Source organism: Homo sapiens, chromosome 6 (assembly GCF_000001405.40).
Source record: "Homo sapiens chromosome 6, GRCh38.p14 Primary Assembly".
NCBI classification, from domain to species: domain Eukaryota; kingdom Metazoa; phylum Chordata; class Mammalia; order Primates; family Hominidae; genus Homo; species Homo sapiens.
Window position 1 is genome coordinate 2,413,721 of NC_000006.12, and position 14,345 is coordinate 2,428,065.

The 14,345-nt window shown below is 41.9% G+C and overlaps 1 annotated feature.

Annotated features, from left to right (window-relative positions):
• Nucleotides 9,195-9,769: an enhancer, noted in NCBI's record as "OCT4-NANOG-H3K27ac-H3K4me1 hESC enhancer chr6:2423149-2423723 (GRCh37/hg19 assembly coordinates)". NCBI's record gives its function as "activates a minimal SCP1, AML or CMV promoter by ChIP-STARR-seq in naive H9 embryonic stem cells {active_cell/tissue: H9 hESC(naive)}" and the evidence as "EXISTENCE:reporter gene assay evidence [ECO:0000049][PMID:30033119]".

The following is a 14,345-nucleotide window of genomic DNA, read 5'->3' on the forward strand; positions in this document are numbered from 1 at the left end:
CAGACTGAGCGTAGTTGTGCAATCATGGCTTGCTGCAGCCCTGAACTCCTGGGCTCAAGAGATCCTCCCACCGTAGCCTCCCAAGTAGCTGGGACTACAGGTGTGTGCCACCATGCTTGGCTACTTTTTATTTTTGGTAGAGATGGAGGTCTTACTTTGTTGCCCAGGCTGGTCTCGAATTCCTGGGCTCAAGTGATCCCCCTGTCTCAGCCTCCCTAAATGCTGGGATTCCAGGTGCAAGCCACTGCACCCAGGAACCCTTTCTAATGCCATCCTTGCTAGTCGTGCATCTTGATGGCAAGTTTTGCAGCATTTCCTGATCCTCCTTGAGAGCTGTCCAGGGAGATTGCTCCCTATCTCTCCAGTTCCTGGATTCTGGGGCAATTCATGTTGTCACCCATGGCTCCAACCCCACGTGACAAGTCCACCTTTCACAGAAGTTGCATCCTTTTCTGAGTTGCCTGCAAAGGCCGGACATCCTCCAGTCACCTCAGTGCGACCCATGACCATGGAGGTATTTTTTTAAAAGGAAAAACCATTGCCATGAACAAGTCCCTTAGCACCACATGACTTAACTAGGGTGGTCCTGACACCTGTTCTTCTGTGGTGACAGGGTTGGCAGCCAACTCCAGAGGTATTTTGTTGTTGTTGTTGTTCTTAATGGTAAGACAGATTAAGTAACAAGCAACAAAGAAGGGGACCAAGCTGCATCCCATGATGTAACACACAGGGATTTCAATACAATCAGGCTTTTTTCCTTGAGGAATTACAAGCTATAGGGAATGTCTTTTAGCCAGAAAGGGCTTCGAGCAGGAAAACTCAAAAACATTCTGTATTACTGTGTTCTATTTTGGTTCTGGGCTAGCTTTGGATGGGTGGCTTTCACTCTGCCCTGAAATTAACATGTTATAAACGGACGGGTTGGGTCTCAGATCCAGCAAAGAAGCCAGCTTGAAAAATCATTCTGGGAAATGCACTGAATCACTTGTTCCAGGAACAGAAAGCCACTGTGCCTTGAGAAACAGGCCGTCGGCAAAGTCCCTGAGACAAGCACCCTCGGATTTGCTGTCCAATCGTCACCGTCCTCCCTTCATTCTAGGGCTTTCTGTCACTTCACTACTCATATTATTGAGGGCTTGACTTCTGCTAACAGGTTCTCTTAAAAGACTATCTGGAGACAGCTTTTTAAGAGCCTTCCCTTTCCGGATCCCTTTGGGATAGAAACCGCAGAGTATTTAATAGTCTGTGATAACCCTTACTTTCCATCCTCTGTTTTCTGGGCAACTCTTCGCACCCACAAGGTAATGACTGCAAATGAATTCCAGGCGGGAGCAGAAATCCTCCTGCGCTGTGCGTCGTCTGCCCCGCTCGGGCCTGCATATGGGCTCCGCACACTGCTCGCTCTTTGTGCCACTTCAGGGTCCTGTCCCCTTGAGTCTCAATCAAGATACGGCTCATTCCACCCTTGGGCAGGAGGGCAATGCTGATGAGGCTGTTTATAGCTTCGGTGCCTGCGCACTCCATGTTATTTAGTTGTTGTTCCTCCGCTGTTTCCAAACAAGCAGTCTGTCCAAAAAAAAAAAAAAAGGATCAAATGGAAAACTTTATAAATACTCCAAATGGCGGAAACAGGAAGTGGAATAAAAATGATGTGGCTCTTCACAGAAAACATGCTGTCATTTTTTTTTTTCTCTGTAAATATACACCATTCATTTTCAGAAAGAGGCTGTGCCTAAAGAAGAATTAAAAAAAAAAAACAAAAAACTACAAAGTGACTCGGCTGACTTTGGAGACTGTTCAGAGAAGCTGCCTCGGGCTGTGCGGGATGCTCTGGGGTGGGAGGGGCAGAACGGCATGGCCCGGAAACCTCTGAAAAATAGGTGCGGGTTCTACTGCGGAAACGCAAAATGATGTCTTGTTGGGTACCCAGGTCTCAGTGTCTCGTGACTTCTTATTGGACAGCTGAAATGCTTCATCCATATCCATCATGTCAGTGGTATTAATTCCAATTCCAACTGCAATTCCAATGATCTCATCCTTAAACCACATTCAATTTCTTCTTGGTAAGGTTGTTCATATAATAATAACGATGAACATTTACATAACGCTCACTATGTGCCAGGCGCTCTTGTAAGTGTTTTACAACTGTGGACTCATTTACTGTTCACAACAATTCTAAGTAGTAGGATATTATCCTTCCCATTTTATGGATGAGGAGACTGAAATATAAATGAACAACTAAGTTTTCTGAGGCGACATAAGTTGTAAATGGAGCTGAGCTTCAGCCTAGGTAGTTGGGTTTCAGGATCCATATCCTTACTAGTATCTCTTTATTGTGAATTAAGAAAAGACTAGAAAAGCAAACACAAAGCACACTGTGATTGTGAACAAATCAAACGTTTCTTTCTCCTTTCCTGTTTCTTTCTTTCTTCTTTCCTGTTTCTCTCTTTCTTTCTTTTCCTTCCTTCCTTCCTTTTTTCTCTCTTCCTTCCTTCCTTCTTTTTTCCTCTCTTTCTTCCTTCCTTTCTCTCTTCCTTTCTTTCTCTTTCTTCCTTCCTTTCTTCCTTCCTTCCTTTCTCTCTTCCTTCCTTCTCTTCTTTCTTTCTTTCCTTCTTTCTCTCTTTCTTTCCTTCCTTCCTTCTTCTTTCCTCTTTCTTCCTTCCTTTCTCTCTTCCTTTCTTTCTCTCTCCTCCTTCCTTTCTCTATTCCTTTCTTCCTCTCTTTCTTTCTTCCTTCCTTTCTCTCTTCCTTCCTCTCTCCCTTCCTTTCTCTCTCCCTTCCTTTCTCTCTTCCTTCCTTCCCTCTCTCTCTTTCTTCCTTTCTTTCATTCGTTTTTGAGACAGGATCTAGCTCTGTTGTCCAGGCTGGAGTGGACATAGTTCACTGCAGCCTCCAACTCTTGGGCTCAAGCAATCTTCCTGCCTCAGCCTCCTTAGCAGTTAGGACTACAGGTGTGTGCCACCATGCCCAGCTAATTTTTAATTTTAATTTTTGATTATATATATATATGTGTGTATATATATATATGTGTGTGTATATATATATGTGTGTGTGTATATATATATATATATAGAGAGAGAGAGAGAGATGGTCTTGCTCTGTCACTCACGCTGGAGTGGAGTGGTGCAATCACAGCTCACTGCAACCTCAACTTCCCAGGTTCAAGTGCCTCAGCCTCCTGAGTAGCTGAGACTATAGGTGTGCACCACCACACCCAGCTAATTTTTATTTTTTGTAGAGACAGGTTCTCCCTGTGTTCCCCAGGCTGCTAATGAACTCCTGGCCTCAAGCGATCCTCTGGCCTCAGCCTCCCAAAGTGTTAGGATTACGGCACCCAGCTCAAACATCTCTTATTGACACTGTTGGGCTGCAACTTCAAAAGAAGACTCAAATATGATTATAAAGGGATTGCTCAACCTGAATCAAACAATGGTATCCAATCTACATGTGTCTTTATAAGAGGAGATTTCACGCAGACAGAAGAGGAGAAGGCCAGGTGAAGACAGGCAGAGACTGGAGGATGTAGTTGCAGGCCCGGGGACCCCGCAGCCATCAGAAGCTGGAAGAGGCAGGAGCAGATTCTCCCTTAAAGCCTCCGAAGGGAGCACAGCACGGCTGGCACCTTGATTTCAGCCTAGCAGTCCTGGCTTCAACCTTCCGGCCCCCAGAATGGGACTGTCTACATTCTCTCTATTAAAACTGCCATCTTCCAGGGGCAGAGGAGCCAGAGGAGGAGATTAAATGCTCTATGCCCTGTAATACAGCCATCTGAATGCAGCAGTTCTCACAGTTTTGGGGCTCAGTGCCCCTTGTCACTTTAAAAAATTATCAAGGACCCCAAATAGTTTATCATTATGTGGAGCGTACCTATAGACAATTACCATATTAGAAACCCAAACTGGGCAGATTTAAAATATTTAATTCATATGCAAACATCTTTCATTAATTCACATAAACATAAGCCTATTACATGTTGACATAAATGATGTTTTTATGAAAAATTGCTGTATTTTCAACACAGAAACCCAGTAAAGTGGCATCGTTTTACTTTTTTTTTTTTTTTTATTATACTCTAAGTTTTAGGGTACATGTGCACATTGTGCAGGTTAGTTACATATGTATACATGTGCCATGCTGGTGCGCTGCACCCACTAATGTGTCATCTAGCATTAGGTATATCTCCCAATGCTATCCCTCCCCCCTCCCCCGACCCCACCACAGTCCCCAGAGTGTGATATTCCCCTTCCTGTGTCCATATGATCTCATTGTTCAATTCCCACCTATGAGTGAGAATATGCGGTGTTTGGTTTTTTGTTCTTGTGATAGTTTACTGAGAATGATGGTTTCCAATTTCATCCATGTCCCTACAAAGGATATGAACTCATCATTTTTTATGGCTGCATAGTATTCCATGGTGTATATGTGCCACATTTTCTTAATCCAGTCTATCATTGTTGGACATTTGGGTTGGTTCCAAGTCTTTGCTATTGTGAATAGTGCCGCAATAAACATACGTGTGCATGTGTCTTTATAGCAGCATGATTTATAGTCCTTTGGGTATATACCCAGTAATGGGATGGCTGGGTCAAATGGTATTTCTAGTTCTAGATCCCTGAGGAATCGCCACACTGACTTCCACAATGGTTGAACTAGTTTACAGTCCCACCAACAGTGTAAAAGTGTTCCTATTTCTCCACATCCTCTCCAGCACCTGTTGTTTCCTGACTTTTTAATGATTGCCATTCTAACTGGTGTGAGATGATATCTCATAGTGGTTTTGATTTGCATTTCTCTGATGGCCAGTGATGATGAGCATTTCTTCATGTGTTTTTTGGCTGCATAAATGTCTTCTTTTGAGAAGTGTCTGTTCATGTCCTTCGCCCACTTTTTGATGGGGTTGTTTGTTTTTTTCTTGTAAATTTGTTTGAGTTCATTGTAGATTCTGGATATTAGCCCTTTGTCAGATGAGTAGGTTGCGAAAATTTTCTCCCATGTGGTAGGTTGCCTGTTCACTCTGATGGTAGTTTCTTTTGCTGTGCAGAAGCTCTTTAGTTTAATTAGATCCCATTTGTCAATTTTGGCTTTTGTTGCCATTGCTTTTGGTGTTTTGGACATGAAGTCCTTGCCCACGCCTATGTCCTGAATGGTAATGCCTAGGTTTTCTTCTAGGGTTTTTATGGTTTTAGGTCTGACGTTTAAATCTTTAATCCATTTTGAATTGATTTTTGTATAAGGTGTAAGGAAGGGATCCAGTTTCAGCTTTCTACATATGGCTAGCCAGTTTTCCCAGCACCATTTATTAAATAGGGAATCCTTTCCCCATTGCTTGTTTTTCTCAGGTTTGTCAAAGATCAGATAGTTGTAGATATGCGGCATTATTTCTGAGGGCTCTGTTCTGTTCCATTGATCTATATCTCTGTTTTGGTACCAGTACCATGCTGTTTTGGTTACTGTAGCCTTGTAGTATAGTTTGAAGTCAGGTAGTGTGATGCCTCCAGCTTTGTTCTTTTGGCTTAGGATTGACTTGGCGATGCGGGCTCTTTTTTGGTTCCATATGAACTTTAAAGTAGTTTTTTCCAATTCAGTGAAGAAAGTCATTGGTAGCTTGATGGGGATGGCATTGAATCTGTAAATTACCTTGGGCAGTATGGCCATTTTCACGATATTGATTCTTCCTACCCATGAGCATGGAATGTTCTTCCATTTGTTTGTGTCCTCTTTTATTTCCTTGAGCAGTGGTTTGTAGTTCTCCTTGAAGAGGTCCTTCACATCCCTTGTAAGTTGGATTCCTAGGTATTTTATTCTCTTTGAAGCAATTGTGAATGGGAGTTCACCCATGATTTGGCTCTCTGTTTGTCTGTTGTTGGTGTATAAGAATGCTTGTGATTTTTGTACATTGATTTTGTATCCTGAGACTTTGCTGAAGTTGCTTATCAGCTTAAGGAGATTTTGGGCTGAGACGATGGGGTTTTCTAGATAAACAATCATGTCGTCTGCAAACAGGGACAATTTGACTTCCTCTTTTCCTAATTGAATACCCTTTATTTCCTTCTCCTGCCTGATTGCCCTGGCCAGAACTTCCAACACTATGTTGAATAGGAGCGGTGAGAGAGGGCATCCCTGTCTTGTGCCAGTTTTCAAAGGGAATGCTTCCAGTTTTTGCCCATTCAGTATGATATTGGCTGTGGGTTTGTCATAGATAGCTCTTATTATTTTGAAATACGTCCCATCAATACCTAATTTATTGAGAGTTTTTAGCATGAAGGGTTGTTGAATTTTGTCAAAGGCTTTTTCTGCATCTATTGAGATAATCATGTGGTTTTTGTCTTTGGCTCTGTTTATATGCTGGATTACATTTATTGATTTGCGTATATTGAACCAGCCTTGCATCCCAGGGATGAAGCCCACTTGATCATGGTGGATAAGCTTTTTGATGTGCTGCTGGATTTGGTTTGCCAGTATTTTATTGAGGATTTTTGCATCAATGTTCATCAAGGATATTGGTCTAAAATTCTCTTTTTTTGTTGTGTCTCTGCCCGGCTTTGGTATCAGAATGATGCTGGCCTCATAAAATGAGTTAGGGAGGATTCCCTCTTTTTCTATTGATTGGAATAGTTTCAGAAGGAATGGTACCAGTTCCTCCTTGTACCTCTGGTAGAATTCGGCTGTGAATCCATCTGGTCCTGGACTCTTTTTGGTTGGTAAACTATTGATTATTGCCCCAATTTCAGAACCTGTTATTGGTCTATTCAGAGATTCAACTTCTTCCTGGTTTAGTCTTGGGAGAGTGTATGTGTCGAGGAATGTATCCATTTCTTCTAGATTTTCTAGTTTATTTGCGTAGAGGTGTTTGTAGTATTCTCTGATGGTAGTTTGTATTTCTGTGGGATCGGTGGTGATATCCCCTTTATCATTTTTTATTGTGTCTATTTGATTCTTCTCTCTTTTTTTCTTTATTAGTCTTGCTAGTGGTCTATCAATTTTGTTGATCCTTTCAAAAAACCAGCTCCTGGATTCATTGATTTTTTGAAGGGTTTTTTGTGTCTCTATTTCCTTCAGTTCTGCTCTGATTTTAGTTATTTCTTGCCTTCTGCTAGCTTTTGAATGTGTTTGCTCTTGCTTTTCTAGTTCTTTTAATTGTGATGTTAGGGTGTCAATTTTGGATCTTTCCTGCTTTCTCTTGTAGGCATTTAGTGCTATAAATTTCCCTCTACACACTGCTTTGAATGCGTCCCAGAGATTCTGGTATGTGGTGTCTTTGTTCTCGTTGGTTTCAAAGAACATCTTTATTTCTGCCTTCATTTCGTTATGTACCCAGTAGTCATTCAGGAGCAGGTTGTTCAGTTTCCATGTAGTTGAGCGGCTTTGAGTGAGATTTTTAATCCTGAGTTCTAGTTTGATTGCACTGTGGTCTGAGAGATAGTTTGTTATAATTTCTGTTCTTTTACATTTGCTGAGGAGAGCTTTACTTCCAACTATGTGGTCAATTTTGGAATAGGTGTGGTGTGGTGCTGAAAAAAATGTATATTCTGTTGATTTGGGGTGGAGAGTTCTGTAGATGTCTATTAGGTCTGCTTGGTGCAGAGCTGAGTTCAATTCCTGGGTATCCTTGTTGACTTTCTGTCTCGTTGATCTGTCTAATGTTGACAGTGGGGTGTTAAAGTCTCCCATTATTAATGTGTGGGAGTCTAAGTCTCTTTGTAGGTCACTGAGGACTTGCTTTATGAATCTGGGTGCTCCTGTATTGGGTGCATAAATATTTAGGATAGTTAGCTCCTCTTGTTGAATTGATCCCTTTACCATTATGTAATGGCCTTCTTTGTCTCTTTTGATCTTTGTTGGTTTAAAGTCTGTTTTATCAGAGACTAGGATTGCAACCCCTGCCTTTTTTTGTTTTCCATTGGCTTGGTAGATCTTCCTCCATCCTTTTATTTTGAGCCTATGTGTGTCTCTGCACGTGAGATGGGTTTCCTGAATACAGCACACTGATGGGTCTTGACTCTTTATCCAACTTGCCAGTCTGTGTCTTTTAATTGCAGAATTTAGTCCATTTATATTTAAAGTTAATATTGTTATGTGTGAATTTGATCCTGTCATTATGATGTTAGCTGGTGATTTTGCTCATTAGTTGATGCAGTTTCTTCCTAGTCTCGATGGTCTTTACATTTTGGCATGATTTTGCAGCGGCTGGTACCGGTTGTTCCTTTCCATGTTTAGCGCTTCCTTCAGGAGCTCTTTTAGGGCAGGCCTGGTGGTGACAAAATCTCTCAGCATTTGCTTGTCTATAAAGTATTTTATTTCTCCTTCACTTATGAAGCTTAGTTTGGCTGGATATGAAATTCTGGGTTGAAAATTCTTTTCTTTAAGAATGTTGAATATTGGCCCCCACTCTCTTCTGGCTTGTAGGGTTTCTGCCGAGAGATCCGCTGTTAGTCTGATGGGCTTTCCTTTGAGGGTAACCCGACCTTTCTCTCTGGCTGCCCTTAACATTTTTTCCTTCATTTCAACTTTGGTGAATCTGACAATTATGTGTCTTGGAGTTGCTCTTCTCGAGGAGTATCTTTGTGGCGTTCTCTGTATTTCCTGAATCTGAACGTTGGCCTGCCTTGCTAGATTGGGGAAGTTCTCCTGGATAATATCCTGCAGAGTGTTTTCCAACTTGGTTCCATTCTCCCCATCACTTTCAGGTACACCAATCAGACGTAGATTTGGTCTTTTCACATAGTCCCATATTTCTTGGAGGCTTTGCTCATTTCTTTTTATTCTTTTTTCTCTAAACTTCCCTTCTCGCTTCATTTCATTCATTTCATCTTCCATTGCTGATACCCTTTCTTCCAGTTGATTGCATCGGCTCCTGAGGCTTCTGCATTCTTCACGTAGTTCTCGAGCCTTGGTTTTCAGCTCCATCAGCTCCTTTAAGCACTTCTCTGTATTGGTTATTCTAGTTATACATTCTTCTAAATTTTTTTCAAAGTTTTCAACTTCTTTGCCTTTGGTTTGAATGTCCTCCCGTAGCTCAGAGTAATTTGATCGTCTGAAGCCTTCTTCTCTCAGCTCGTCAAAATCATTCTCCATCCAGCTTTGTTCTGTTGCTGGTGAGGAACTGCGTTCCTTTGGAGGAGGAGAGGCGCTCTGCGTTTTAGAGTTTCCAGTTTTTCTGTTCTGTTTTTTCCCCATCTTTGTGGTTTTATCTACTTTTGGTCTTTGATGATGGTGATGTACAGATGGGTTTTTGGTGTAGATGTCCTTTCTGGTTGTTAGTTTTCCTTCTAACAGACAGGACCCTCAGCTGCAGGTCTGTTGGAATACCCTGCCGTGTGAGGTGTCAGTGTGCCCCTGCTGGGGGGTGCCTCCCAGTTAGGCTGCTCGGGGGTCAGGGGTCAGGGACCCACTTGAGGAGGCAGTCTGCCCGTTCTCAGATCTCCAGCTGCGTGCTGGGAGAACCACTGCTCTCTTCAAAGCTGTCAGACAGGGACACTTAAGTCTGCAGAGGTTACTGCTGTCTTTTTGTTTGTCTGTGCCCTGCCCCCAGAGGTGGAGCCTACAGAGGCAGGCAGGCCTCCTTGAGCTGTGGTGGGCTCCACCCAGTTCGAGCTTCCCGGCTGCTTTGTTTACCTAAGCAAGCCTGGGCAATGGCGGGCACCCCTCCCCCAGCCTCGTTGCCGCCTTGCAGTTTGATCTCAGACTGCTGTGCTAGCAATCAGCGAGATTCCGTGGGCGTAGGACCCTCTGAGCCAGGTGTGGGATATAGTCTCGTGGTGCGCCGTTTCTTAAGCCGGTCTGAAAAGCGCAATATTCGGGTGGGAGTGACCCGATTTTCCAGGTGCGTCCGTCACCCCTTTCTTTGACTCGGAAAGGGAACTCCCTGACCCCTTGCGCTTCCCAGGTGAGGCAATGCCTCGCCCTGCTTCGGCTCGCGCACGGTGCGCACACACACTGGCCTGCGCCCACTGTCTGGCACTCCCTAGTGAGATGAACCCGGTACCTCAGATGGAAATGCAGAAATCACCCGTCTTCTGCGTCGCTCACGCTGGGAGCTGTAGACCGGAGCTGTTCCTATTCGGCCATCTTGGCTCCTCCTCCACAATTTTTTTTTTTTAAACAAACCTCTGTCATGTCTGGCATAATAGAAGAAGTTGGATTTTCATTCACGCTTTGCATTCAGTCTGTTGCAAAATGTTGTTTTGGTTGAAACGTATAAGGAAAATCTGGCTTCACATAAATATGTAGTTGCAAAAGGAGAAGTATTTAAATAGTCTTTTGGATAATTATAAATATTCTTTGAGTCTTCATAAATTTAAATAAATGATAATTTTTAAAAGTTAATTGCAACATAGATTCTGAAACAATATAAAAAAACTTTTGGTACTCTGTTACTTTAAAATTCATTGATGTATTTTATATTTTGAATGTACCTTTTATCTGTAAATGATTTTTATTTACTTATTTTAAATTGTGGTAAAATAGACATAACAAAATTTACCACTTTGCAGGGCACAGTGGATCACACCTGTAATCACTTTGGGAGGCCGAGGTAGGTGGATCACTTGAGCTCAGGAGTTCGAGACTAGCCTGGCCAACATGGTGAAACCCCATCTCTACTAAAAAATACAATAATTAGGCGGGCCTGGTGGTGCATGCCTGTAGTCCTAGCTACTTGGGAGGCTGAGGCAAGAGAATCGCTTGAACCCGGGAGGTGGAGGTTGCAGTGAGCTGAGATCACACCACTGCACTCCAGCCTGGGCAACAGAGCGAGGCTCCGTCTCAAAAAAAAAAAAAAAAAAAATTACCATTTTAACCATTGTAAGTGCACAGTTCAGCAGAGTTAAGTATTCTTATTGTTGTGTAACCATCATCACCATCCATCTTCAGAACTCTTCATCTTGTGAAAACTCTGTATTCATTAAACAATAACTCCCATTTCCCCTCCCCAGATCCCCGACAACCCCATTCTACTTTCTGTCTCTGAATTTGACTGCTAGTCGAATTCCACCTCAAATAAGTGAAATCCTACAGTATTTGTCCTTTCATGACTGGCTTATTTCACTTAGCATAGTGTCCACAAGGTGCATCCATGTTGTAGCATGTGTCAGAATTTCCTTCCTTTTTAAGTCTGAATACTATTCCATTGTGTGTTTATGTGTGTGTGTGTGTGTGTGTGTGTGTGTATACATATATTCCACGTTTTCTTTATCCATTTATCTGTTGTTGGACACGTGAGTTGTTTCCACCTTTTGCTATTGTGAACAATGCTGCTATGAACATGGGTGCATACAAACCTGTTTCAGTCCCTCCTTTTGATTTCTTTTAGTATATTTCTAAGGGTGAAATTATTGGGTCATGTGATAATTCTATTTTTAGTACTTTGAGGAACTACCATATTGAATTCTATGATAGCTGCACCATTTTAGAATCCCATCAACAGTGGGCAAGATTTCTAATTTCTCCACATCCTTGCCAATATTTGTTATTTTCTGTTTTTTTTTTAAATAGTAATCATCCTAATTGGTATAAAGTCTCATTGTGGTTTTGATTTGTATTTCTCTAATAATTAATGATATTGGACACCTTTTCATATATTTTTTGGCTCTTTGTAAATCTTCTTTGGAGAAATGTCTATTTGCATCCTTTGTCCATTTTTAAAATCAGGTTATTTCTGTTGTTGTAGTGAGTTGTAGGGATTCTTTATATATTCTGCCTATTAATCCTTTACGAGGTGTCTGATTTGCAAATATTTTCTCTCATTCCAGGGGTTGCCTTTTCACTCTGTTGATTGTGTCCTTTGATGCACAGAAATGTTTAATTTTGATGTAGTCCAATTTGTCTAATTTTATTTTTGTTGCCTGTACTTTGGGTGTCATATTCAGGAAATCCTTGCCAAGTCCAATGCCATGGTGTTTTCCTCCTAAGTTTTCTTCTAAGAGTTCTGTAGGAGGGTGGCACAGCCTCCCTCCTGACTGTGATCAAGGTGTCAGCTGGGCTTTGTTCTCATTTGGAGGCTCAGCTGAGGAAGAGTCCACTTCCAAGCTCCCTTAGGTTGTTGGCAGAATTCACTTATTTCTGGTGACTTGCTTCTTCAAAGTCAACAAGGAGAACAAGACTCCAGAGAGAGGCTGCTGGCAAGACATAGTTTTTTATAACATAACGTTGTAATAAGAGTGACCTTCCAACACCTTTGCCATATTCTATTGGTTAGAAGCAAGTCACGGATTTCATTCACGCTCAAGGGGGATGAACTAGAACCTGAATACTAGGAGGTGGGGGTCGTGGAGGTCACTTTAAAGTCTATTCATCCCATCTGATGCATGTTTTAAAAAGACCTCTCACTGTAATGTGTGGAGGTTAGACTGTAGGGTGGTGGAGAGACCAGGCTTAGTGACAAGAGGCTGTTGTATTTGGAAATTAGGAAATCATTAGGAACTGCTTTTTCAACAAATATTCATAAAATCTACTATATGAGAGTCACTGGGTTAGGTGTTAAGGATGCAGTGTGGAAGTAAGATTTCTCATTTTTTAACTTTAAAAAATTTTGATTGACACAGAATAATTATATATATTGATGGAATACATGCGATATTTTGATACATGTACACAATGTGTAATGATCAAATCAGGGTAATTGGGATACCTATCACCTCAAATATTTATTGTATCTTTGTATTGAGGATATTCAATATCCTCCATTCTAGCTATTTTGAAATATACAATAAATTACTGTTAACTATAGTCATCCTACTATGCTATACTATGCTACTATCCTGTAACTTATTCCTCTTATCTAACTGTAATTTTGTTCCCATTAACCAACCTCTCCATAACCCTCCTACCCGCTTCCCTTCCCAGCCTCCGGTAACCACTATTCTACTCTCTACTTCTATGATATCAACTTTTAAACACCCAGTGGAATATTATTCAGTCATAAAAAGAAGGAAACCCTGTCATTTGCAGCCACATGGATGAGCCTGGAGGACGTTATGCTAAGTTAAATTAGTCAGGCACAGAAAAAGAAACACTTTGTGATGTCACTCATATGTGGGAGCTAAAAATAAAAAAGAGTTCTCATTTTTGAGAAAGCATTTTCTTGAAAAGACAGGGGCAAAAGTTATTTTAAACTGGTTGAGGAGGAAACAGGAGGTGTGACTGTAGTGGTGGCCATTTAGAATATTTTCATAGACTTTGGAGAAGAATAGAGAGAGAGAGATGGGACAAGTAGTTTGAGGGGGCACAGAGTTGACAGTGTTGATGTATTTTCTTTTTGTATTTCTTTTCCTCTGGCTGAAAGGTAGGGATAGTAGAAAGAAAGAGGCAGAAGATACAACAGAGGGCACATTCCAGTGGAGAACTGGGGGGATGGAATGAAGGGCATGGGAAGAATTATCTTGAAAGGAAGTGAAGACATCTTTTTGAAACCACAACCATGAAAACATTAGTAAGGTTAGTCCAAAAGTAGAGGGGAATTGAGGGAGTATGTGCCAGATAGCATCTGTTTTCTCTGTCAACTCAGAAGGGAATGGTATTTATTAAGAGGTGTAAGGGCGTTGTCACTTTGAGGAGAGTAGGCAAAGTTGGGTGTAGCCTTCACTGGAGAAGGGAAGGGAAGGGGGACTGACCTCCAATGACCAAGTAAGCTATCGTGCAGGACTGTGGTTCCAGTCCAGACTCAAAAACATTAATTTGCAATGGAGCCAATCCACATGGGTGCATCATTTACTTTGGTAGTATTTGGGAAATCGAGGAAGAGGAATGGAGAAAAGAGAGAATCAGGGTGATCTGGGGCTGAAGTCAGCATGGGCCAGGGCAGCAGAAGATTCCTGTGGCAAGAGGTAAAGAAAGCTACTGAGACTGTCAGAATGCAGCAGCCTCCACAGAGTGGGGAGGGACAGGAGCTGTGCTCAGGTTGGGTGGGGGTGACAGTGGGGGCAGCAGAGAGAGAAAAGTTGCATTTCCAGAGGGGAGTTTTATATTTTAGCATCTTTAGGCTCATTCTAAATTTTAGTGCAGTCTAATTCAATCAGGAGAATTGAGTCAGTAAAAAGTTAACGTTAATAAAAATTTCCTAAAAGCAATAGGCTTGCGCTACACATTACACCAGATGTCTTCATTCTATGAAGCCTTGGGGAATGGCCCTTTCCCCTCAGAGGCCACTACAAGGAGACGGGGTTTCCAAGGACCCTCCTTCCACCTCTGTCTGCTTACACATGGATTTATCTGTCTGATCGATTAGGAACCTGTAGACTGACATTTAAAGAAAGGGTACAGAATCTAAAAAGACATTAAGAGACTTCGCATGTGATTCTCAGGGATACTCCACATGGATATGCACGACCTGAGAGCTTGTTAAATGT